This window comes from Homo sapiens, chromosome 5 (assembly GCF_000001405.40).
Source record: "Homo sapiens chromosome 5, GRCh38.p14 Primary Assembly".
Taxonomy (NCBI): Eukaryota; Metazoa; Chordata; class Mammalia; order Primates; family Hominidae; genus Homo; species Homo sapiens.
Window position 1 is genome coordinate 8,376,648 of NC_000005.10, and position 27,107 is coordinate 8,403,754.

The 27,107-nt window shown below is 39.3% G+C and overlaps 1 long non-coding RNA gene across 1 annotated transcript in view; it reads right to left on the reverse strand.

The window, feature by feature from the left end:
• Nucleotides 1-27,107, reverse strand: part of LINC02226 (long intergenic non-protein coding RNA 2226) — a 124,082-nt gene that overhangs the window by 43,165 nt on the left and 53,810 nt on the right. Inside the window, exon 3 of the long non-coding RNA NR_039984.1 lies at nt 10,880-11,062. This is a non-coding gene — a long non-coding RNA (long intergenic non-protein coding RNA 2226). The remainder of the gene's footprint in view (nt 1-10,879; nt 11,063-27,107) is intronic.

Below are 27,107 nucleotides of genomic sequence, written 5' to 3' on the forward strand. Positions count from 1 at the left end.
AACATCTCTAGTCCTAGGAAACCACCATGACCGCAGGAACCACAGGTCATATCGGAACAGCATAATGAGGTGGGTGAGAAGAGCAGTTTAGGTGCTCTGTGGATTCCTTGAAGTGTCAAAGAGGCATAATGATGTGAAAAAAATGTTGAGGGCAGCCTTAAGAAGAAAAGAATTTACTGTAGTATACAGATTGTATTGGATATACCACAACTAAATTCAATAAAACCTGTAAGAACAATTCATGATGCCCATAAATATGTATTACAAATGGTTTAACTACAATTATAATTCAATTATTTTAAATAAGAAAATTTAACAAACAAATCTATGTGAACTACAAAGTACCTACTTATGCTCATTATGTATATCTTTCCAAAGATACTCAATGATTCATACTACATGCAAAGATATGTAGATGATGTTCATAATAGTATTTTAATTAGTGACTTGTCTTTACATACTAAAAACTATTTATTATTGACTTATCATTAAATTACACCCATTAAATGCAATAATAATTTTTCACATTTTAATTTGATTTTAATAACAAATTTCATTCATTGATATGGACAGCCATTAACACTAAACAAATTATTTTTAGTTAAAATATTAATAGGTGATGATAACACTGACTTTCCTAAAGAATGTGTTTTAAAATTGAGTCTGAAAAACCACATGATTATCTCAATAGATGCAGAAAAGGCCTTTGACAAAATTCAACAACCCTTCATGCTAAAAACTCTCAATAAATTAGGTATTGATGGGACATATCTCAAAATAATAAGAGCTATCTATGACAAACCCACAGCCAATATCATACTGAATGGGCAAAAACTGGAAGCATTCCCTTTGAAAACTGGCACAAGACAGGGATGCCCTCTCTCACCACTCCTATTCAACATAGTGTCGGAAGTTCTGGCCAGGGCAATTAGGCAGGAGAAGGAAATAAAAGGTATTCAATTAGGAAAAGAGGAAGTCAAATTGTCCCTGTTTGCAGATGACATGATTGTATATCTAGAAAACCCCATTGTCTCAGCCCAAAATCTCCTTAAGCTGATAAGCAACTTCAGCAAAGTCTCAGGATACAAAATCAATGTACAAAAATCACAAGCATTCTTATACACCAACAACAGACAAACAGAGAACCAAATCATGAGTGAACTCCCATTCACAATTGCTTCAAAGAGAATAAAATACCTAGGAATCCAACTTACAAGGAATGTGAAGGACCTCTTCAAGGAGAACTACAAATCACTGTTCAAGGAAATAAAAGAGGATACAAATAAATGGAAGAACATTCCATGCTCATGGGTAGGAAGAATCAATATTGTGAAAATGGCCATACTGCCCAAGGTAATTTACAGATTCGATGCCATTCCCATCAAGCTACCAATGCCTTTCTTCACAGAATTGGAAAAAACTACTTTAAAGTTCATATGGACCCAAAAAAGAGCCTGCATCACCAAGTCAATCCTAAGCCAAAAGAACAAAGCTGGAGGCATCACACTACCTGATTTCAAACTATACTACAAGGCTACAGTAACTAAAACAGCATGGTATTGGTACCCAAACAGAGACATAGATCAATGGAACAGAACAGAGCCCTCAGAAATAACACCACATATCTACAACTATCTGATCTTTGACAAACCTGAGAAAAACAAGCAATGGGGAAAGGATTCCCTATTTAATAAATGGTGCTGGGAAAACTGGCTAGCCATATGTAGAAAGCTGAAACTGGATCCCTTCCTTACACCTTATACAAAAATTAATTCAAGATGGATTAAAGACTTAAACGTTAGACCTAAAACCATAAAAACCCTAGAAAAAAACCTAGGCATTACCATTCAGGACATAGGCATGGGCAAGGACTTCATGTCTAAAATACCAAAAGCAATGGCAACAAAAGCCAAAATTGACAAATGGGATCTAATTAAACTAAGATCTTCTGCACAGCAAAAGAAACTACCATCAGAGCGAACAGGCAACCTACAAAATGGGAGAAAATTTTCGTAACCTACTCATCTGACAAAGGGCTAGTATCCAGAATCTACAATGAACTCAAACACATTTACAAGAAAAAAACAAACAACCCCATCAAAAAGTGGGCAAAGGATATGAACAGACACTTCTCAAAAGAAGACATTTATGCAGCCAAAAAACACATGAAAAAATGCTCACCATCACTGGCCATCAGAGAAATGCAAATAAAAACCACAATGAGATACCATCTCACACCAGTTAGAATGGCAATCATTAAAAAGTCAGGAAACAACAGGTGCTGGAGAGGATGTGGAGAAATAGGAACACTTTTACACTGTTGGTGGGACTGTAAACTAGTTCAACCATTGTGGAAGTCAGTGTGGCGATTCCTCAGGGATCTAGAACTAGAAATACCATTTGACTCAGCCATCCCATTACTGGGTATATACCCAAAGGACTATAAATCATGCTGCTATAAAGACACATGCACACGTATGTTTATTGCGGCATTATTCACGATAGCAAAGACTTGGAACCAACCCAAATGTCCAACAATGATAGACTGGATTAAGAAAATGTGGCACATATACACCATGGAATACTATGCAGCCATAGAAAATGATGAGTTCATGTCCTTTGTAGGGACATGGATGAAATTGGAAATCATCATTCTCAGTAAACTATCGCAAGAACAAAAAACCAAACACCACATATTCTCACTCATAGGTGGGAACTGAACAATGGGAACACATGGACACAGGAAGGGGAACATCACACTCTGGGGTCGTTGTGGGGTGGGGGGAGGGGGGAGGGATAGCATTGGGAGATATACCTAATGCTAGATGACGAGTTGGTGGGTGCAGCGCACCAGCATGGCACGTGTATACATATGTAACTAACCTGCACATTGTGCACATGTACCCTAAAACTTAAAGTATAATAATAATAAATAAATAAAAATAATAATAAATAAATAAATAAATAAAACTGAGTCTGATACAAAGTTTACAGTTATATCTTTGGAAAGAAAACAGTAGTCAGATATAGGCAGCAAAAGACTACAAATCGTTGAAACAACCAATCCAAACAGGCTTCCTGGAACCTAGTCATTGCAGTCAGTTCATACCAGCTTTGGTTTCTGACCTGACATAGACAGTCCACTTTATCTCTCACCATGCTCAGAGCCCTGTGCTATTTATCTTGGCTTTTCTGTGGGCTTCATGAATCTCAGCCATAATCATGGTCATCTCATCCTGAAGTTTTCTCTAGAAGAAATACAAAAGCTTTCTGGAAAGCTCAACTCTGCCTGCAGGAGAAAGCTTTCCAAGGAAGACAGCCTCAGCTATGTCAAGGGACAAAAAACAGGATACAGGGCACACAATGGGCTTATGTGAGCCTTTCACAAGTCAGAGACATGAAAGCACTCACCAGGAGTGGTGAACAGAACAAGCTGTGTCCGTGAGCCAGAGAAGGAAAGAAAAGCATCACTGGTCATTTTATTCAGAGAAGAGCTCACACTTGAGGTATCCTATCTACTCTATAATACAGGGGATTATAGGAACTTCTGTAGATCCGCTTTCCACAGGTTCCTCTCCATAGCAATCAAGGATAAAAATGAAGATACAGTCACTTCTTTGCCCCATTTTCTGTTTCTTTAAGGGAAACCTACCTGTTAAAGAGGATTTTATTGGCAGAATTAGAAAAAATGCAAGAAGGGTCAACAGCTACTCCTGAGAAACCCACAAGGTGAGAGTATCAAGTCATGTATTTTGTAAATTGTTACATAAAGGTGTCTTATGTGCAACCAAACATTGCTATATCAGCAAGATTCGACTGAATTCTGAAAGTCAAAAACAGGGGAAAATGCACAAATACCCCAAATGACGCATCTCTGCGCGTATTCAAATTCCGTAAACGTAATGTTTATTGCTCAGAAAAAAATGGTTTTCTATTTTATTTTTTAAAAAATTTCTGTACTCAATAACAACTGCATCTCACCTGGCAACTAGTAAACCTACATTAACACAGAGAAACAAAATTTTCTTTTTTTTTTTTTGAGACAGGGTCTCACTATTTCCCTCAGGCTGAAGTGCAGTGGTGTGATTTCCAAAGAGATGTTACCTTCCATATGTACAATTTACCATCATATTTTCTATCCTATTTATTCTATTATGTTATATTAAATTTTAAATGTTTCTTCCAACTCATTACATTAACTATTGATTATGAATGTCAACTCTTTTTCTGAAAATTACTGCATTAAAATATCTCTGCAATATAGAAATAATTTAGTTGAACTCTGTCATGTATGGATAAGACTTTATAAGTAACCTACCATTCTGGGTCACTCTTCAGGATCTGAACCTGCATCCACAGAATTTGGAGAGCATTCCCACAGCTCCCGTGGGGTAGCCAAGATGGTTGGACTTCAAGACTGGCTACAAGAGTCTGCTTTCACTTTCTCTTGTTTATTTTGTGTTACTATTTGCTTCAATTACATAATAGCTGGGTAGAATCAAAAAGTGTTTTTATATGTGCTTTTGTGTTTAAATGTGTGGGTGAGTGTGTGCACGGGAGTGATTGACCAAATTTAGGGGGAGAGGTGCTTTTGGAAGTGACAGTACAGGCTTTTTCCATAATATGTTGCAAATACATTTTCTTTATTTTCATGCAGCAAACCTAGCTTAAGTGTCAGGAACTTTATGAATCCTTGTAAATCCCTGGGAGCATACCTAAACAATTTGTATTCATAATTCAGTACATTTTTTCATTAAAAAACTAAATTGTACAATACCAAAGACATGATCCATGAAACGAAATAATCAATGAGCTGGACTTCATTAAAAGTAACATGTCCACTCTGCCAAAACAAAAACAAAAACAAAAACAAACAAAACAAAAACACTGTCTAGGAAATGAGTTACAAGGCACAGACTTATGGAGATAATATTTGCAAAAGACACATTAATAAAGGACTGCTAATGAAAATATACAAAGAACATTTAAAATTCCACAATAAGAGAATAAACAACCTGATTAAAAAATGAACTGAACAGATACCTCACCAAAGAAAATATACAGATAGTAAATTAACATATGAAAAAGTGCTTGACCTTATATGTCACAAAGGAATTGTAAGTTAAAGCAATAAAATACCACTATGCACCTATTAGAGTGGCCAAAATCCAAAGCACTGACAACACCAAAAATGAGAATATGTAGTAACAGAAATGCTCATCCTTTTCTGGTGGAAATGCAAAATGGTGCAGCCATTGGAAGACAGTTTGGTGATTTTAAAAAAATGTGTAAATTTAAGGGGTACAAGTGCAATTTCCTTAGATGTGTCTATTGTGTAGTGGTGAAGTCTTAGATTTTACTATATCAATCTTTCAAATAATGCAGATTTTACTCATTGAGTAATTTCTGATCAGCCTTCCCATTTTGTTCCCCCACACTTCTTAGTCTTTAATGACTGTCTTTCCACAGTCTGTGTCCATGAGTACATATTACTTAGCTCCCACTTATAAGTGAGAACATCTGGTATTTGACTCATCTGGTGTATGTTTCCTCTAGGCTTCAAAACAAAATGCATAGGGTGGGGCTTTTAAACATTCACATTCAGTATATACAAAATTCATTGATTTATTTTTACCTATTCTCTTGCTTTTCTAATACCTTAAAGAAACATTTGTACTTTTTCTTAATTGTGCAGAAGTTATACCTGCATATGAAATAAGTGGCCCCGTTGACAATGGTTACCTATGGCAAGGCATAGAAGTTCACTGTGGATGTTGAGGCTACTAACCCAGAAAGCTAAACTGCTTTATTTCAAATTGTGTAGAGCCTGGAGAGGTATTATTTTTGTTTCTATTTGACTCCTCACTGGTGTATCTGAGATACATTTCTGGTGTTTGTCTCATCAACGCAGAGTCACTGCAGAGTAAAAGGAAAGGTTTCGTATTTGTATCTGTTACAGTTCCAAGATTATCAGGGAGGTAATGATGAAACACCCTCTTCCACGCACTGGGCAACTCATCACCATAGCAACAGATCATTATATAAAGTTCGTCAATTCAGCTGGTCGTTATCCCAAAGCAGCAGACAGCTAATATGTTAAGGAAAGTTCTTTCTCTTAACTTGTAAATGAGCAACTGAATTAAATTGGTCTTGGCACTGGGAGTTCAGCATTACCTTTATATAGCAAAGAGGAATTCAAAGAAGAAAACAGGTCTTTTGGCTAGCATATGCTTGAAAAGGAGATTTTAATTAGCTCAATTATCAGTTTTGACTAAGGCTTGTATTTCCCCAAAAATTATGTTAACCATTTCAAACATTATTTGGCATAAATTACATGCAGCATTCTTTCATCTTAAGGCATTATTTCAAACCACATTCCCCTATGCCACACCTTTGACATGTAAGTTCCAGAAAATCAGGTGCTGGGTAACCTAGAATGCCTTATTCACTGTGACCTTGCTGGCTTCCAGAACAGAGTCAGGCACACAGTAGGTTCTTAAGCAGAGCACCTGGTACAATGTGTGGACCCTGGGACCCAACAGCCCAAGTTAGACTCCTGGCTTCCACACTTACAGGCTGTGTGGCCAAGAGCAGTTCATTGACATCTCTGTGTCTCCTTCTCCCCAGTGCCCAGTTCACAGGGTTGGGGGCCACTAAGTGAGTTTATCTGTGTGTTTGCTTGGGTGGTGCCTAGCACACAGAACACATTGCATAAGAATTTTCTATTATTATTTTACTGCTACTGTTTAGCATGCAGATGGTAAGTCCTATTCAAGTTTTGTCTAAAATCAACAAGCTCCCTGCTTCTATGAATAGTCAACACACATAAACCAGGAGGGGAAATGATATCTCTTTTACAGAGGCTCCTACTGCCTTACTGAAACACAAAGCAAAATACTCCTTTAAGTACTCAAAATCATAAGTTGATAGCATAAAAGACATTTGCCACTACATTTCCTGTGAATGGAAACCCAATTGTATTTAAAACAAGAGTGCAATCAATAGAGTCCTCTGGGTATCCTTTCTAAAAGCTCTTCCAGCCCCATAGCTTAAAATGTAACTTCAGCCAGACTGAAAATCATTCTGTTAAGGAGGCAATTCAAGGTTCTGAAGGGAAATTACTTGCCTTAGATTTATTGTATCTAAATTACAAAGCAACCACCCAGTTGGTAACATTGGCAGCCCTGCTCTGACAGTCACCAGGCAGGCATCCAGAGTCTAAATTACCCTCTCACCCCCAGCAGTGAAATTTATACTGCATCTGGTCCCATTAGCGTGGGTTGGGATGGTTGAGAAAAATCTATGCAAAGCACTTTTACACATCATTAATGTGAAAGAAAAAAGAGAACTGTGTACTCTATGGAATAAGAAAGTTAATTTGTCATTTTCGGAGTTGCTGTATTATACCAATTGTAAACTTGGAATGATGACATTCCAAGCTATTTGGTAGCTAGAGTTTTCTCCCGCTTTCTTCAGACATGATCTTGCCCGTTTCTACGGCTTCAGAGACAACCTGAGGCTCCTATTACTGATCCAAACCTTCTCAGGTTTCATAGAAGGATTTCCAGCTGACTCTTAGACCTACCACATGCAATTGGAACTCAGTGTATCCAAAATGGAGATCAACATCTCCCTTTGGACCAAATCTGTCCATGCATCTAAAATTCTGAATTCATTTGCTAGGATGAAATATTCAATCTGACTATCCTATCTTTCAGTTTCATCTGCTGTCTCTTCACCCACAACTGCAGGTCATTTCAATGTCTCCCCCTTTCCAGAACACCCCAAGACTTTCTAGAGCTGCATGCTTTGCATGTTCTGTGCTCTCTCTGCCAGGCAGCCATCTCCCCATCCCCCAAGAGCCAGCTCCCAGGCCTCTGATTTGGGTGGAGGGGGAACCTTTTCTCACCTCCCAGGCCAGCTCAGTGCTCCCAAAGTCCGTGTGCTCACGGAAGGTATTCTTCCTTCAATTAAGATACTGTATTGGGTCAATCGCAGGCTAAATGTCTGTCTTTTGTGTGATGTAAGCTTTTCTTTGCATGACTTGCTGAGTCGAATCGTCATCCATGACACCTTCATACTCTATGGACACACTAGGCTATTGATCAAGCCTTAATGAATGAACACATAAGGATTTCACAAGTGTAGAGTCATGCCTGGGAAGTCAATCTTTGCGCTCAGGGTTGAAATTTATCTTTCAATTTTCCTGGTTATCACCAAGGAACAGCAGAATAATCATGTTTAAAAATTCTATTGTGTATAGGTGTCCAGAGCAGACAGGTGACCCCTAACTTTCTATGCACCTCTCTTGCTGCCCACTCCACTGAAAGCTGCCCAAGAGGTGAGAAGCTGAAGTGAGGTGGGGTGGGGCAGGGATCTGAAAGGAAGGCGTGACAGGAGGAGAGCCCTAAATACAGCAGAGTGGTTCCCAGGCTTTATGACTAGAGAAGCTACTCAGGGAGAAGGCTGAGATGAACCTTTCAGGTGCAGCCCCAGAGACTGGGATTTGGGAGGTCTGCAGTGGGCCTGGAGACTGTCATCAACAAGAATTCCAGGTAAATCTAACTCAAAGATCTAGAATGATCCTTTGACCAACAATTAGGTGCTATTGATTTTAGTCCACATCACCAAAGATGCCAACAGTGAGGTCCATGATGAAGGAGCTTTGAGTCTTGGTGACTATTCCTTAACTTCCTAAAGCCTTTATGTAAAGTCTGTAAAGTGTTTAGCACAGTGCCTAGGCAAGGGAAGCACTTTTTGTGTCTTCATCATTGTTACCATGCTGGTGAGGAGGATGAGGATGCCGTAGCCAAGAGCCCTTCCTTCATCCTGGAAGCTCTTCTTTCCATGCATGAAAAGGCACCCCTAATAGGTCATAACCTTAAGTAGATGCAGTGGACCTTCTGCCTGGCTGCATCTTAGACTCATCTTGGGGCTGTAAAACATTATAAATGCCTGGATTCTGACTTCATGTGCAGAGACCCAAATTAATTGTTCCTGGTAGATGGTAGGAACAGGTGGTTTTTAAAAGCTCTTGAGATCTATGAAATATAAATATAATAGTTGAAAACTACTCATGTCTAAAGCATGAGAGGAAATTGAGAGAATTATAGGTGAGATTCAATTAATGATTAGATAATTCATTTGATTTTCCCCATTATCTAATTCAGTCCCACATACTAAGCCAGAAAATTTAGGAGACTGAAACTGTTATACCAAACATTTAGGGGGAGATGTGAAGACATATCATATAGGCTCAACTCTGGCCAGCTACAGGGCCTCTGGTTAGCTGACAGCCTCCAGCTGTTAACTCCTTCAGCCTCCTAACTGGGTCATATATTCTTGGGGGTGGCCCTCAGCCTGAGGTGGTGATAGTTGCCAGGGAATGTGCTTCTTATAGATGCCCACAGCCAGTAGCTGGGAAAAATAGTTGGTTTAGCTCCCAGCCATATTTTGTTCAACTCTTCCAGCAGAAACACCTTGCATAAAGTTCCACACTGGCCTGGGAGAACCTTTTGACAGATCTGTGTCACATTCTGATGGCTCCCTCTGCCCAATTCTGCTTCTTCCTTACTTTTCCTTCCACAGGTATTACTCCTCCAAAATTTCTTGTGCTTCTAGCTCCATCCCTGTCTTCCTCCTGGAGAACCCAACCTATAATGGGGACATCTGGATGAGCAGACCCACTGAAACACAGAAGAAATCTAACGCACTTACAAATCAGAAAAAGCCAGTGGGGTAAGGGAGGGAAGATACTAGAACTCAAACTAGTGGGTGACAGGCCGTGGAGATACATCTTCTCTTTTTATTCACGTTGACAGTTCTGCAGAATAGATATTGTGAATTCTACTTGGTAGATACTAAACCTGGGAACTCCAGAGGTCTAGAAATGTACTGTGTCATGTAACTTATAATAGGTGAGTAAGAATATGATCACAGGCATGTCCAGAACTAAAGCTTATATTTTGCCCTCTACACTACATTGTTTCTAGATCCTCCATTTCATAACAGTTTTATCCTTGTCTGAACTCCCACTGCATTAACCATAATCTGAAGAGTTCCCTTTGAACAAATTTGCATCATCCTTAAAGACTTCCTATGGCCAGATATAAACACACCCTGGACTATAATTGTAAATGCTTTAAAGTTAAGGACTACCTTTTATGTTTCTTGTGTAGCCTGAGCTTAACCTAGTAAACAATGTGCCCTCTGTCCATGCTTATTAACCACATGAATAATACATACATAATACGGATGGTCTTGTTCAGAGAATTGGATGATGTCAATGGTGTGTAAACATGCAGAATACACTGGATAGCATCCTATTGTTTAGCATTTATTAATGGATTTTCCCTCCAGAAGCAAAAGTGTGTAATATGCATGTTATGTGAATGACACACCTGGCCAAGTTTGGCTTACTCACCTGACATCACTCTTCTGTTGTTTCTGGTCTTTTCCTGAACAAATAAAACCTTGGTGTTGTCAGAAGTAACCCTACCTCCCCTCCCTTCAACACAGCAGAGCAGCCTTGACGTGGCTTCTGATCAGGACTTATGTCCTCCTTCTTGTTTCCCCAAGCACAAAGACATGGCTGCCTCATGACAAGGTGGGACCCATGAGCTCTTTAGGTCTGCAGGTGGACCACTCAGACGACCCTGTCCTTCTGTTTATTTCTGACTCAGAACTGCCAACCAATTGCCCTTGGACACAAATACTAATTAGTTCATTTATTCATTTAGTGAAAATTGAGAGCATAACTTGGGTCATGTTCCTATTTAACTGCTGTTGCTACGAAAATATCAAACTCAGAAGCTTGTTTAATATTTGGGGCTGGACTCAATGTCCACCAATTTCCTCTGATTTTAAAAAAATGAGTTACCTGGAAGAATTTGTTTTCACCTGCCCATGTCTGTCTGGGATGTGGTTCACAGTAAGTGATGTGTTTCCATTTACAAGTCCAGAATTACAAAGGTTCCATTCTTCTAGCCCAAGCATGAGCAGGATCTGGCCATTCTGAGGGGTTCTAAGTACTTCAGTGTCCTGCCTCCCACCAGGATGTAGCCTAGAAGGAAGAAAGGGAGGGTCACACAAACTACTTAGGAAAGTGGGCTAGAGGCAGAGCTTCCAGGATCTGAAAATGCATAATCTGTCTATGGGGAGATGATGGAGAGAGGAAAGCCTACATTTTTTATTTAACTTTCACTTTAGGTTCAGAGGTATATGTGAAGGTCTGTTACACAGGTAAACTCATGTCACTGGGGTTTGTTTTTTTCATCACCTAGGGATTATGTCCAATACCCAGTAGTTATCTTTTCTGCTCTTCTCCCTCCTCCCACCCTCCAGTCTCAAGTCGCCCCCACCGTCTGTTGTTCCCTTCTTTGTGTTTATAAGTTCTCATCACTTAGCTCCCACTTAGAAGTGAGAACATGTGATACTTGACCTTCTCTTGCTGTGTTAGTTTGCTGAGATTAATAGCCTCTAGCTCCATCCATGTTCTCACAAAAGACATGATCTCATTCTTTTTTATAAGCGTACACTTTTCAACTGTATCTTGAGGAATGAGCAAGTATTTGCCAAACATAGAAGAAAATGAGGGCATGTGAGGAAGGGAGGTTGGCTTGACCAAAGTATTAGAGACCATGGCTTGTGGACATGTAGGGTTCAGTATCATTTAAAAGGGTGGTGCATTGTGTTGGAGTCAGTGATTCATCCTATCTGTCCCAGCCCATCTCTTCCATAGAGGCAGAAATGCTCAAAGCTCCTACATGGTTTGATTCTTCAGCATTTGATAAAAACCATATAAAGTTGTGATGGGTAACTGCGAATGTTATATTTGGAATCCAGAGAAGGGTTCTGCATATACGTGCTTTCACAATATAATTAATTGGTTCAAATGTAATTGAACTACTGAGGTCTGTGAAAAGAGTTTGGACACAAGTTAGAAAGCTGTAGCAGAGTTAGTACTCAGAGCCCTGATGGACCAGTCTTTCCACACCTGGCACTCACCTGCTCAGCCCTTAGGTCCAGGAAGTGTTACAGGTACACCAAGATATTGATGCCTTCCAACTTGGAGAAGGCTTCTACTCCTGCAGCCATCACAAACAGCTTTGTTTCCCAACGAACCATACAAACAATATTATTTCCTGTGGTTGTCATCATTGGGAAGCCCTGACTTAGGAAAATCCCTACACCAGGAGACCTGGACAGAAATAGCCATAGCAGCACTGTTGGTGCTAGCAAAAAACTGGAAACATCACATATGACAATCAATGGAATAACATGAAATTCAGGATTACAAAGGGACATTGTATAGTGGTGAAGACTAAGAAATCTTGGTTATCTGCATGACAAAATAAAAATGAAAAATAGCAAGTCACACAAGAATGTATATCTTTCCATTTGCCTCCAGGTCAAACCACACAATGCTAAGTGACACTGCAACCATGTCTTTATGTGGCAAAATCATAAAAGAAAGGGGGGTAATAATCGTTACCCAAAGCAGAGGACAATGGGTAGGAAGAGCGTTCAGAGTAGACATCAAAACTGCTGATGAGGTTGTGGGTAAATTTGGGTGGGAGGTAACATAACATTTTCATTTCATTACTTTATATTCAGTACATATGTTTAATACCATATTATTTATGTATTTATTATTTATTAATAAAACAGATAACTTGTGTTGAACTCAAAAGACACAAACAAATACAAATAAGAGTAAATTACTGGCCCTTGCTAAACTACATTTTAAGATAGCTGGGCGGGTCACTCGGGCCACGTTGTGCATATGCACAGACACCTGCAGATACACACATACACAGTAACAAGGTAGGCCGCTACGTTTAGATGCTAATATGTTACGATAGGAATGTGTTGGTAACAGGTGAGAGGATGAAGACAACACACTGTGATTCACAGCAGAACTCAGGAAGTGTGCTGACTTTCTTGGGCAATGCCTGGAGCCAAATTTGAAATGGTACCTCTACAACCAGGGTTTGAACATTGGATTGGGGGTCAGACAAGACAGGAGCCTCTGTATAAGACCAGGGAGTAGTTTTGGTGCCTTCCTGGTAAAAGGAACAGAAAGAGTGAAGAAAAGAGTGAGTGGTAGAGAATGGAAGCCAGGGAGATGGCAGAAAACTGCTTACTGCTCTATAAACCCTTCCCTGCCACCATTGAACCTTCAGTAGGAGCTTCGAAACTCATGTGATGCTTGATGTAACTTGTTTGTTTTTGTTTGTTTCTTTGAAAACAGGAACAAGTGAGAGGACTGAGACTGCATTTGTTCAACAGTGAAAGAAGCACATCCCGCCTCGCGTAGACAGGACTTGGTGAGTCTAACCCTAGGGATTGATAAGAGAAATAATGGGGAGGACTGTGGACATCCTAGGCATAAAAGAAATAAGGAGCCCAATATCTGGGAAGCAAGAAAGCCTTAGCTGACATCTGAGGGTCAGGCATGACATATGCTCTTAAACATTCATGCAGAGAAACAATAGGTTTAAGTTCTGACCCACTGCTGAGATGTGAAGCTGAAGGATCCACACTAATGACATGCAGTCCAGGACCCTCATCTCTCTGGCTTCTGTTGACTTTCCTGTGTGACTCTCTAAATCTTTTCATGGGTGCGGATTTGTTTATGATCTATGAGGTATCCCAGCCCAGTTCTTACTGTGCAGAAGGCAAATTATGAGTCTAATATGGTCTGGCTGTGTCCACAGCCAAATCTCATCTTAAATTGTAGCTCCCATAATTCTGATGTGTTGTGGGTGGGACCCAGTTGAATCATGGGGGTGGGTCTTTCCCAAGCTATTCTTATGATAGTGAGTAAGTCTCATGAGATCTGATGGTTTTATAAATGGGAGTCCCCCTGCACAAGTTCTCTTGCCTGCCACCATGTGAGACATGACTTTGCTCCTCATTCACCTTCCAACATGATTGTGAGGCCTCCCCAGCAATGTGGAACTGTGACTCAATTAAACCTCTTTCCTTTATAAATTACCCAGTCTCAGCTATGTCTTCATTAGCAGTGTGAGAACAGACTAATACAGAGCCTTAACCAAATCCACTGCTTTCCCTAACTGGGATGTAGGTGGCTGAGAGGCAGCCCAGTCTCAACCCTGGTTATACATCCTTTAGCCAACCACATAGACTGTGGCCATGGATCCAGGCAGAAAGCAGGAGGCAGAGGACCAGGGGAAACAGAGGTCTGTGCCTGAAGATGAGGCGGGAAGGAGTGGGCACTAACCACAGGGCACAGGAGGGGCTCTGATTCCTTAGATGGGGATGTGTCTTAGGACACAGGACAAAGCTCAGGCACCAGAGCAAAGGACTGATCACAAGAGAAGATGTCAAAGGCCAGGTCACTCAAATTGGGTGAGAGGTGAAGGCCAGGAGGGCCCCAGAATTGGAGGAACTAGAGGTGTGGGTGAAGGGGCCCCAACTCTGAGAGTTAGAAGGTCCCAAAGACAAGCTTCCAGGTGAACCACTGCAGGTCAGCAACACAACAAATCCCAAGACAACTGGCTTGTATCCAAGTCATGCAGAGAGAAATGAATGCTGCCCAGAGATACTGAAAAATGCCAACACTATGTAATTAATACAATTTCTAATTGAGGAAAAAATTATAGTTTAACTCAAAAAGCAGCAGCTCATTATGAAAATTGCCTTTTAAAGACCCAATTTACCAAGGACAAGTGAAGGTCTCTACGGTTGAAACTATTTTTCACTTTGAACCAGTGTTCTTTTGCAGAGGACAAAGTCAGATTTTAGAAATTAATTAAATGTTCATATTGAATCTTTAAATGAAACTCTAAATTCCACTAATTAAGCTTAGAGAACACTTACAATATGAAGGGTCAGATGTTTCCCCTAAAATTCCAGAAAGATATTTAGGCATTCAAATAATTAACCACTGGAGGTTTTATTCCTGGCAAAAATACATGAAAAATGCTGTCGATAAAAGCCTTTACATTAATTTGTGACAATTAAAATCAACTTCTACTGGGCTCAAACCTTTATAACTTTACGTGCCACCTGCTAATTGTAGACAACGCTCAATGTTTTATCACTCCTGGTTCCTTCACAAGTGAACCCTGCAGCTCACCCACTCATTCACCCAACTTCCTTCATTTAGCAGGAGGTCCTATTACCCTCTGCAGCTGCCAGTGTCAGAGCTGGGTTCCTGTAAAGAAGTCCAGGCTAAAGCCACAGAGACTGTTGTGGAAGTGAGTCTGGCTGTAGTTGGAGAACAGCGTGATTGGACCCTTCCTATTTGTCTGTCCTGGGCCAGTTGGTGGGTGATCTCTGCCGCATCCAACATGGGAGCAAAGAGAAACTGGCAGGCAGAGGTGGAACATGGTGAGAAGTGGAGCTCACTTTTCCCATTCCTCCTAACACAGTTCTACTATGCTAGAAGTGACAGCCAGTGGCCACAGCTAGAAAATAATCTGCAGTGTGACTTAACCTGTGTATGACATTCCAGCAGACCACTGAACCAGACAGCTGAAGCCAAAATCATTGCTCTACTGTGTATTTACTGCTGTGTGAAGCTGATTCCACTTCGGGTCTCTGCTTAAATTCCTGTCATTAAATGGAAATGTGTTTGGTTTTAAACTTAAAAAAAAAAAAAGACAGTGTAGGAATGTTCACACATACTTTCTAGTTCAGGAAAGACATCCTCTTTCTTATCCAAATTTTCCTTTCGACTTTCTCGACTTCATTTTAAGTATGAAAGGGTTGCACATTTAGTTACTTTTATTATATTTTTCTGGGGCTGAGTATTTGAATTAAAAGCAGGAAATTGGGTCTACAATGACAACACTGGTTTAACCTCAAAATTGTTCTCAAATGTTAAACATATTTTAGGGTTTTGCTGGATTCAGAAATCCAGAACGTGCACAGGACATACTTGAACATCAAGATTTTTGATACGTGGGTTTAGCTAACATAATGCTAATGAGGATGATAATGATGGATGGTAAATAGATGAACAAGCATCTGCTTTCCATTCATTCCAACTGTTTAATGATTTAGCACTTACTAACGTCAGCCAAGATGGAAAAATGAAAAAAAAATACTTTTTTGTTGTTCATATTGACTTTTATTTGGTCTCCAAGGATCAGTTTCTTCATAATTACAATTTCAGATATTCTTGTCTCAGGAAGTTAGTAAAGACTGCATTGATTCTTCATAAATGTCTCATTAGCAAAGCATCATGCCCTCAGCATCTCTGAAAAGGCATTTTCTTATCTGAAGGCTAAGGCAGAGAGAATCATAAGAACATTGCTTCTCATCATACAGCTGCTCTAAGAGACATTAGCTCTACCCATCCTAAGCATTATTTCAACTTATTATTGATGTTCATGACAGCTATGGTGTTACCTAACAACATCCTTAGGAATATCCTTTAGTAAGAATAACTCCATTTAAAAACCATAAAAGAAATTGCAAGAAGTATATTTTGGCTAATTACATGTTTCAAAAAGGGAATGAAAATATTATAAACCAAGATAAAAATAATCTGATTAGTCTCTAATTGTGGGATTATGCAGCTGCTGCTTTTGAAAAGAAGGAAGGAGGGAAGGAGAAGGGGGGGAAGTAGGAAGCAAGAAAGGGAGGGAGGGAGGAAAGAAGGGAGGGAGGGAGGAAAGAAAAAGAAGGAAGGAAGGAAAGAAGGGAGGGAGGGAGGTAGGGAGAGAAGGAAAATATAAAAAAGAGAAAAAGAAAGACGTTAAGAAAACATACGACTTTCTATGCTGAAACACAGTCAAGAGATAAACATTGCTTTCCATATGCCCAGGAAATGTTTATCTTTAGATTTGGCTGGTGTTAATCACTGCAGCCTTATAAAGCTGTTTTTCCAATTTCCATCCTGGTGGAAAGGAGAATGGAAGTGTCCTAAGTAATGCATGATGATTTGGAAATAGCCCATTTCCTCTAATGGATTCAAAGTGGGAGCTACAATATTAACAGTTAACACATCACTCTTTTATTTCTATGCCTGTCAAATCTCTTTGTTTTATTATTTAAGGGAACCCTTAACTCTCATCTTCCCTGTGAAAGTTTATTTTAAAAGCAGTTTAAGCTGATATCAAAACCAGACAAAGACATCCAAAGAAAACTACAGACAAATATCTCTTTTGAATACAGACACAAAAATCTTTACCAAAATACTAGTGAACCCAAAACAGCGACATATAAAAGCAATCATATACCATGATCAAGTAGGATTCATCCTAGGAATACAGGGGAGGTTAATATCAAAATTCATTAATGCAATACACTTTACCAATAGAAATAAAGACAAGAGAAACATGATCATATTAACTGATACATAAAAATTATTTGACAAAATCTGAGATCCCTTCATGATAAAAGCACTCAGCAAACAAGGAATAGAGGGAAACTTCCTCAATTTCAGAGCATCTATTTTTTTAAAATGTTAATATCAGACTTGAAGGTGAAAGATTAGAGGCTTTCTCCCTAAGATCAGCAACTAAACAAGGCTGTCCATACTTATTACTTCTATTCAGCATTGTACTGGAGGTTTTAGCAGTGCAGTTAGTCAAGAGGACAAAATTAAAAGTATCCAAATTATAAAGAAAGAAGTAAAGCTATCTCTATTTGCAAATATCAGGATTTTGTATATAAAAAAACCTTAAGGTATTCAGCAAAAATCTATTAGAACTAACAAAAGAGGTTAGCATGGTTACTGGATGCAAGCTTAACATATAAAAGTCAATTGTACTTCTGGACATTTGTAATGAACAATCTAAAAATGAAATTAAGAAGTAAATTCCATTTATAATAACATCAAAAAGAATAAAATTATCAGAAACAAATTCAAAAAGAAGTGTAAAACTTATATTCTTATACTAGAAAATATTTTTGAAAGAAAACAAAGAGTATCTAACTAAATGTAAAAACACCCGATGTTTATGGATCAGAAGACTTAATAATGTTAAGATGAAAATACTCTCCAAATTGGCCTACATATTAAATGCAAGCCCTGTCAAAATTCCAGCTGGCATTTTTGAATTGACAAAGTGATCTTGAAATTCATATAGAAATGCAAAGGACTTTGAATAAGCAAACAATCCTGAAAAAAAAAACAAAGTTGAAGGACTCATATTTCCCAATATAAAAGTATAAAACAATAGAAATCTAGACAGCATGGTATCGACATAAGAACAGACACATAGAGTAATGGATAAAATTGAGAGTCCAGAAATAAACCCTCTCACATTTATAATCAATTGATTTGTGACAAAGTTTCCAAGACAATTCAATGGGGAAAGAAAATTCTTTTTAACAAATAATGCTGGGACTACTGATTATCCACGTGCAACAGAATGAAGTTGGATCATTGCCTCACATCATATTCAATAATTAACTCAAAATGGATCATCCACCTAAATGTAAGAGAAAAAATTATAAAACTCCCCCTAGTAGTCCTAAATAACTGAGTGTCAGAGATGCAATGTCTTCTATGGGAGAGATGCATTCACTTCGCCACCTGTAGGTGACTTTAGAAAGATTCCTTCCGAAGGATTCACCTAACAGGGAATTTGTTAAATCCATAAGGGCTTCAAAGAGACATGGCAATGACTCTTATGTTTTACTTATTTATTTATTTTTTAAGACAGAGTCTCACTCTGTCGGCCAGGCTGGAGTGCAGTGGTGCCATTTTGGCTCACCGCAGCCTTTTCCTCCCAGGTTAAAGCAATTCTCCCACCTCAGCCTCCTGAATAGCTGGAATTACAGTGTGCACCACTATGCCTGGCTAATTTCTATGTTTTTAGTAGAGTTGAGGGTTTCACCATGTTGGCCAGGCTAGTCTCAAACTGCTGACCTCAAGTGATCTGTCTGCCTCGGCCTCCCAACGTACTGGGATTACAGGCATAAGCCACTGCACCTGGCCTATGGCCCTTAGATTTTTAATGTTGTCAAGTTGGGACATTGTTTGTTTATTCATTTTTGGTTCATGGAGAGAATTACCTATTGAATGCCATAAAATATGTAGCATTTTTCCTTTGCTCCCCTCTACTACATTACTTTTTTTTTTCAGTGTAGACATTTACTTATGGAGCACTGGAGCAAATGGAAAATAAATTCAGGCAGGTCTGAATAACCAGACATAAAGCAAATAATCAATGCAATTACTTGTGCAGCTCAACCAGAGAAAAATATCCCCCTCCCCATTAAAATGTAAACAGTCATAATGATTGCAGCAGTAGGAGATATATTTTATTTTTAAACCATTAACATTAAAACTTATCTTCAGAGTTTTGCAGGAGTGGGTGTAAGTGTCAGGTTGAGGTGGGGGAGGGGCCTCCAATAGACCTTCAGGTGTTTCCATTTAAAACCTTGCTAAACTGAATGCCAGGCCCATGGCCCTCTTCTGAGGTTATCTTCCCTGCTCCTGTTGAAGAACCACGTCCCTGATTTTGTCCTGTGTAACTTTGCTCCTATTCTCCCAGTCAGTCGTTGACCCTTACCCAAGAATGGCCACAAGCTGACCAGCAGCTTTCCACGTGACCTCCACTGGAAAGCTCTGCAGAACCAGAATGACAGCGATGAGGTGGGCCAATGAGATTCTCTTTTAGAAGAGGAAACTAAGAAGCAGAGACAAGTGAACATCAACTGTGGGAGCAGAAACATGTTTCTTTGCATTATGCCTAGTACTTTATGCAACCAAAGTACGTATCACTTCCTCACAATCAAAAGAATATGATCAAAACTAAACAGATGATCAGGTAAAGGCTCTTGAAAGGATCTTGCTTAATTATTGAATGGGAAATGACTTCACTGACTGTTTCAGTGACAGTGAAATAAGTCACATAGCAGGAGTGATGTTTTGAAGTTGAGTCATTAGACTACAATATTAAAATCATATAAACAGATATTCAGAAATTATGAGGAGCTATAATTCTAAGAGACAGTTACAAAACTGCCAAACTTCCTTTGGATTATAGTTATTACATCCAAATTGAATGAGAAATACAGGTTACAAAGGACAAAGTCAAAGAGCAAGAAAAGCAAGATGACTTAACCAGTGACTTTAAAATCTTCTAATTTGTATCAGTAAGTTGAAACTGTGGGAAAATGTGGTAGATGACTTCCCAAATTGCTCTAGGTTGTCATGTGGGTTGAATTTTATTTCTGATATTCCTCGCCTGAACATTTGGAAGAGTCTTTTCTGAGAGACATGTCCTTGTGTTTTCACTCAGTTTGTACTTTCTGAAATAGGTTCCTTGACTTGACCTTCATTGATGACTAAGGGCTGTGCAGTTGTTGCACTTCGGTATGGTAACCACAATGAATTCCAACAGCATTCCCAAGTGTAGAGGGTCCTGTCCAGCACATGCTCATCTCCTGTTTCTTCATGTGGTTCATGGCACCCACCCTGCCTGTCCTCAGTCATTGACTCTTTAAGACAGGTAGCCCTGGGCCTACCTTTCTCCCTGGTTACTAAGGGTCATAAAAATTCTAATTTTTAACACTAACACAAGCACTATACACAGGTCACAACCAATCTTCCAGCAGATGGAATTTATTTGGTTACTGAATACATTCAATTATAATAATTACAATTTTATTTCTAGCTTTAATATTTATACAGATGCCAGAAACTACGTTAAATTTGAGTTTATATGAAGGCAAAAGAGATAAGACTGAAAATCTCATACTGAAGTGGCCAAAGTTTGTTTCTAATTTTACTTTATGAGTAAATGCATGACCATTACATAAAAAAATTGAGACATAGGCTCACCACCTAAATCCAAGCACTAGTGGTTACCAGAGGCTAGGAATGGTAGAGGGAAGCGGGAGATCAAGAGAGACTGATTAGTGGGTACCAAAATACAGTCAGAAGAAACTAGACCTAGTGGTTAATAAATCAATGGTAGCATTTTCTCTCCTGAGTTTTATTTTAAAAATTATCATCCAACCTCATAATATGTATTAGGAGATACAATTACATTCAACTTTACAGTAGAATCTTACCATACCACCTCTTTCAGTGACAAAAATAGAATTGGATAAAACTCTTTTGAAGACATATCCAGCATTTTCTATGGAAAGAAATAATGGACAAACATTAATTGTAAAGTGTGTCTCATCACAGTAAATGAAATGCAAGGGGATGGAGAACAATTTTTTTAATTAGAAATCTTTATTACCAATGGATTGACTGAAAATATCCTTTTATAATAACACTGGCAGATTCATCTTCCAATTAGAAGATAAGTAGATCTTTTCATAAGTGAATGATCTTAGAAAAAAATAACTGCTAGGGATTCTTAAGTCTGCTTCAAAATTGTTAATTTCAACAAACATGTACCTACATTAGACTTGCCTTATAAATGTTCTGTGAGGAGCAAGATCCCACGGTTCTCCCATAAAAGTGAAAACTTTGATTTAGACTTGAGCTTTAGAAATATATTTGGGTAAACATCATTAAAATTTCTTTGGAAAACAACATCATTATCTAGAACAGAGACAATAATATATGGTTTTTTTGTATAAGCAAAAAGTTGGTAGGTTTGATGAGAGTTGTGCTTAAACTCCAGCAGCTTCCATTAAACCTAAAGGATTTATATGAGACGAGCAGGATTTATATACAAGACGAGCCAGTTTTCTTTCTTTTTTCTTTCTTTCTTTCTTTCTTTTTTTTGTCCACAGACCACACTGCTTTAGCACCTGGGCAACTTTCGATCAATATTGATCATGAGAAACACTAGAGAGAAAGGTTGACAGTCTATAGATCTCAGATAAAGACAGGCAAAGAGGTAGAAAGCCAACCCAAAAAGAAAACAGTATGGTTGGTTACTCCATAATGACAGAAGCTGATTACATCCCCTTTAGAATGAATTAGGCTAATGACACACTTATAGAGTATAGCCTCATAGGTATTGTGGATTTGGAACTAGGCTTATACAGCTACTAAAATTATCAAGAAATCATATTTAAATGCAAAGCATAATATAATTCAAGAGTTAATTGTTCTTATTTAATCAAACAACATAGTTATTTAACACAATTGAAGTAGTATGACATACATAAGTTGTTTTTTAATAGCATGTTTTTTAATTTTTTGCCTGAAAAAAATAGAAAACTAATTTTTTTCTTTAAATTCAGGTTAATTAGGAGTTCAGAGGAGGCAGAAGAAAGCCAGATTTTATTTTAAATTTGTCAATGAGATGGTTTAAAGGCAGAAAAGTTGTAACAAATAATTAAGAGTTGGCTCCATTGTTAGTACTCACTGGAATTATTAACTGAAAATGTATTACATTATTAAACTCAAAATCAACTAAATTTTATATAATTTATGAAGTTCATCCTACCTTTTCCCTTTTCTTTTATACGTAACCCCTTACATATATGAAAACATTTAGAACAAGTTTTAAATTAAGTTTAGATTTATAAATTCCCATGACAGTAAATCATTTCAATACTAGAAAACATTTTAATGTGAGAATTTTCACAATTCATTGTTTGTTGATGACACTGAGGTAGTTGCAAATTGCATATAAATGTTGAGAAAGAGAATTTTTGGTAGTGAGATAAATCCATTACTTAATTTTCAGTGTCTGAAAGGATCTCATTGGGGTCTGCAAAATCCTATTATCCTCTCAAGTCTCATTCATCTTAGTCAAGGAAAATGCTACAGCCTGCTATGAGAAAAACTTAGGACTGCGACATCCCCCCAAACTGGGAAGGAGCTGAGAGACCAAAGAATGACATGGACCAGCACAGCTTGGTGAGTAGCTGAGTTTATTAGGACTTACTTACAGGGCACTCCTGGAGGGCGGCAGGACAGCTCTAGAAATCTGTGCCACCTTCTGTCTGTGAACTGCTTTTAAGTGAATTTTCTGGCTCTTTGCCTACTGTGTTTGAACAATGAGACTGTGTTTCTTGGTAGGTTTTCAAATATACTCCAGAATATTTGGTTTCTCAGAGACACCTGCTCCTCAGCTGGGCACCATGGCCTTGGCTCACCGCCTGGCCTTCCAGGTTCAGGCAGCAGACACACACGCTTAAGTAACCTGGTGGGGTACCCGTCACACTACACAGCCTGCCCCTCACTTAGCAGTCTAGCCTCTTTGAGAACTCGAGTTAAATGGCTTGAATCAGGAGCTGTAAGAAACTACACAGAGAGATAAAGTGAGGAATGGGATTTCAGCATTTGTTGAGTTAGTTGTTGAGCCAGTTGTCAGTCTAATACCAACATTTCTAGAGTACATAGAACACTTTTATTACAAAATCACTGTGGGAGTCATACTGACTTCTGAATTAATAATGATTGGTAGCAAGTAACTGTAAAAAGGCCATGTTCTATATTTAAAATATTTTTGGAAGGGAAGACAGGGAACATGGGGAAGGTCCCTGGCATGTTTCCTTCCTGGTGTTCATGAAAAGACTAAGTGAAGATGATAGGTGTGGGTTCTGGGTCCCTGTCCACATCAGGGCTTCTCCTTTCTCTTCCTTGAGGTTAGGCCAACCTTACCTGCTGTGTCCCTCAGAGCCTCCCCTACTTGGGGACACCTCTCTCTAGCTCCCTCATTCTTTCTTCACAGTGAAATGATGCCCATCTGTAGTTGTAAACTTTAAAAAAGTCAGATTCAGAGGTCATGGACTCTAATCTGTACTGAAAATAGTAACACTCTAAAAAGTCAAAGTTCTTAAGAAGTCAAAGTTCTTTTTTTTTTTTGAGACAGAGTCTTGCTCTGTCACCCAGGCTGGAGTGCAGTGGCACAGTCTTGGCTCACTGCCACCTCAGCCTCCTGGGTTCAAGCGATTCTCCTGCTTCAGCCTCCTGAGTAGCTGGGACTACAGGTGCGTGCCACTACTCCTGGCTAAATCTTTTTTTTTTTTTCTGTATTTTTAGTAGAGACGGGGTTTCACCGTGTTAAGCAGAAAGGTCTCGATCTTCTGACCTCATAATCTGCCTGCCTCGGCCTTCCAAAGTGCTGGGATTACAGGTGTGAGCCACTGCACCCAGACAAAGTCAAAATTCTTAAAAATAGAATTTCATCTTTACCTCACACCTCTTGAAAACCACTGAACACAATGGATCTCAGTCATGGCCCTTGAAAATGCTTCTGTCTGTCATTGCTTCTCTCGCCTCTCTGGTGGTTGTTTTTTCTCAAATGACAGTCCCCTTGCACCCTATCAACAATGTGATGCTGTCACCCCCTTCTTCGCTAGCTTGCACCTTCTCTCCATTTCCTTTGGTACTTTATTCGGGGGACCAACTCAGCCCCTCAGCCAAGTCCTCCCCTTTCCCTCAGCCTCTTGGCCCAGGCTCTAGGTCTGAATCTCAGAGGATCAGGGATGGGCTAGATAGAAACAGGGGCTCCTCCAAGGCCCAGGGAGGAGTATGATCTTGAGCAGGTGAAGATGGATGGTGAGGAGGGTTGAGGGAGGCTAGAAATTTCACAGGTGCATTTCCCTGTGGCAAGTGCAAAAAAAAAAATACAAGCTAAAGTCCACAGTAAAAGATCCTTGCCCACCTAGCATCCTCATCTGTTCTGCTGTGTCTCTCCCCCATTCTCGCCCCCACAGAGTCCATCATCTGGAAGCGGTTCCCCAGACAGGTTAACATTTCCTGAGCTCAGTCCCTCCTCAACTCACTCCAGTCTGTCTCCACCCCAGATCTTCCATGAAAAATACCTTCCCTGGGTATTTTCCCCACAACTTTCAAATTTACTGGACCCTTACTCTCTTCATCTTGCATGAGTTTCTAACACTGAAGTCCTTGCCCTCCATTCTTTATTTCTGCTTTACTTTTCCACATCTAATGTTTCAATTAACTTTATTTTGAGTTATTTGTCTCTGTTTAAAATAAGCTCCATGAGGGCAGAGATTTTGTTTATTTTGTTCATTTCTGAATCCCAAGCACATCATAGGTGCTCAGTCAATTTCTTGTGAAAGTGCGTGTTGAGTGAATCTTTTCAGAAATGCTGCTCTCTGTTTTCCTTGCCAACACATTGTTTTAAATTCCCCTTGACCTCACTCATTGTTTAACTAGATTTCCTTTGCTGACTTGTCATTCTCAGTAAAGTCGTAAATGTTGGTGTTGCTATGGGTTCAGTCCTTGGTTGCCTTCTTTCTCCACTTTCCTTCCCTGGTTTCATGACTTTGAGCACTATTTAAAGCCATTGACTATCTAAATTATATATCCTCCCCAAGGCAAAGATGCTAATAAGAGGCAGGGAAAGGAAATGTAGCCCTTGCAATTTTTAGAATACTAATGCTAAGAACGGAGTATTTGGTGTATTAAGGTTGTAACCTTTTATACATGTGCTCAATCTAGAGCTAATGGTAATAATAATGCGACATTTTCTCCCAGACTCACTGTTATACCTCTGTTTGAAGTTACCAACCACTGTTCATTCTCTATTCCTTTCAACATCTAAGGGATGATCTATAAAAACAGGCTTTCTCTGATTCAAAGCACTTAGTCTTTTATTTTTTAATTCAATATCTGGCAACACTTGCTGCTTGGATACCAGCTACAGGCTGTGACGACAGTAATGGTCAGTGCCTACATAGGCCATTTCATGGGCAAATCGCCACAGTATACAAGCTGAGTGATTATGAGAAGGAACACTTATGTACCTATGGACTCCAGTTTTAGAAGCAGCAAGAGGTGTTTTGTTTGTTTGTTTTTGTTTTGTTTTTGTTTTTTGAGACAGAGTCTCACTCTGTTGCCCAGGCTGGAGTGCAGTGACGTGATCTTGGCTCTCTACAAGCTCCGCCTCCAGGGTTCACACCATTCTTTTGCCTCAGCCTCCCGAGTAAGCTGGTACTACAGGTGCCCCTCCACCACGCCCGGCTAATTTTTTGTATTTTTAGTAGAGATGGGGGTTTCACCGTGTTAGCCAGGATGGTCTCGATCTCCTGACCTCGTGATCCACCTGACTCGGCCTCCCAAAGTGCTGGGATTACAGGCACGAGCCACCGTTCCCGGCCAAGAGGTTTTTTAAAATACATGAATCATTAGGTTTTTTTCCTTCATTTTCTTGTTTTAACTGGAGAGCAGCTGACTTGCAGCACTAAGTGTGTGCATTGATATGTTAGCTGCCATTTGGCCAAATGCCTAGACACAGATTAAACAGATCAGAGGGCTTCTAGGTGCTGCTACACTATCAAAACCCTATGGGACCCTACAGTGTTTGTTGCAGAAACTCTGGGAGAAGCCAAATGGTTTCTAGGAAAGAAATCATTGATGAGATCCTGCCATGGTTGACTGGCAAAGCTCTGAGACTCAGATTAGCATGTATGTTATTTCTAAAACTGTGGTGATACTGTTTCCCTTCTCCGAAAATGTTCTTCAGGGTCCCCAACATGCAGAGTCAATAAATTAGCCTTTAAAGTACTCACAACATCTGAAAACAAATTAAATGTGGAGAGAAATATTGCCTAACAAGAAAACATGCAAGAGCCAGGTAAATTTACTCATCTCATTTGAAAGTTGTCCACATCATTCATGAGTAATTTTTCCATCCTCAGAACCACTTTTGTGGTGTTCTCTAAATCATCAAAACAACGTTAAGATGGCTCTTTCCAAAATCAAATAGATGGCACTCGGAGAAAATGAAATTTCAGAGTAGTTTGATAAAAGGGAAATTAATTTTCTTTTTTATGTCACAGTTGTGTTATTAGGACAATAACAGAGAAGATGATTAGGACAATTCAGGAGCTGATTGAAGAAAATGATAAGGAATGATTCTTTCCCCCACCAAACTACCCCTCATCAGCTACTTCTGAGCTTGAGAGAGAAGAGGGCAAGGGAAAGGAAAAGGTGTCAGAAGCTTGGCATTTTACACATTTATCTAATTAGTCTCTGCCTCCCTCTCCAAACTAAAGTTCAAGTAACCTCACCCTGCTTCTTTCTCCTGATTGCAGATACGCAGCATAAACACTCAAGATAGGAGAGGCAGCCCTCGGCCACTGAGCAGTGGGAAGAGCGTCCCTTCTGTCTTCTGATGACAGGCATTGATAATGCAAGCTTGTCTTCCTCAGCAGCATCTCCGCTGGCTGCCATGGCTGGCTCCCATTGCAGAGCAATTGTCACAGGATGAGCATAAGAGGAGCTGTGCCGT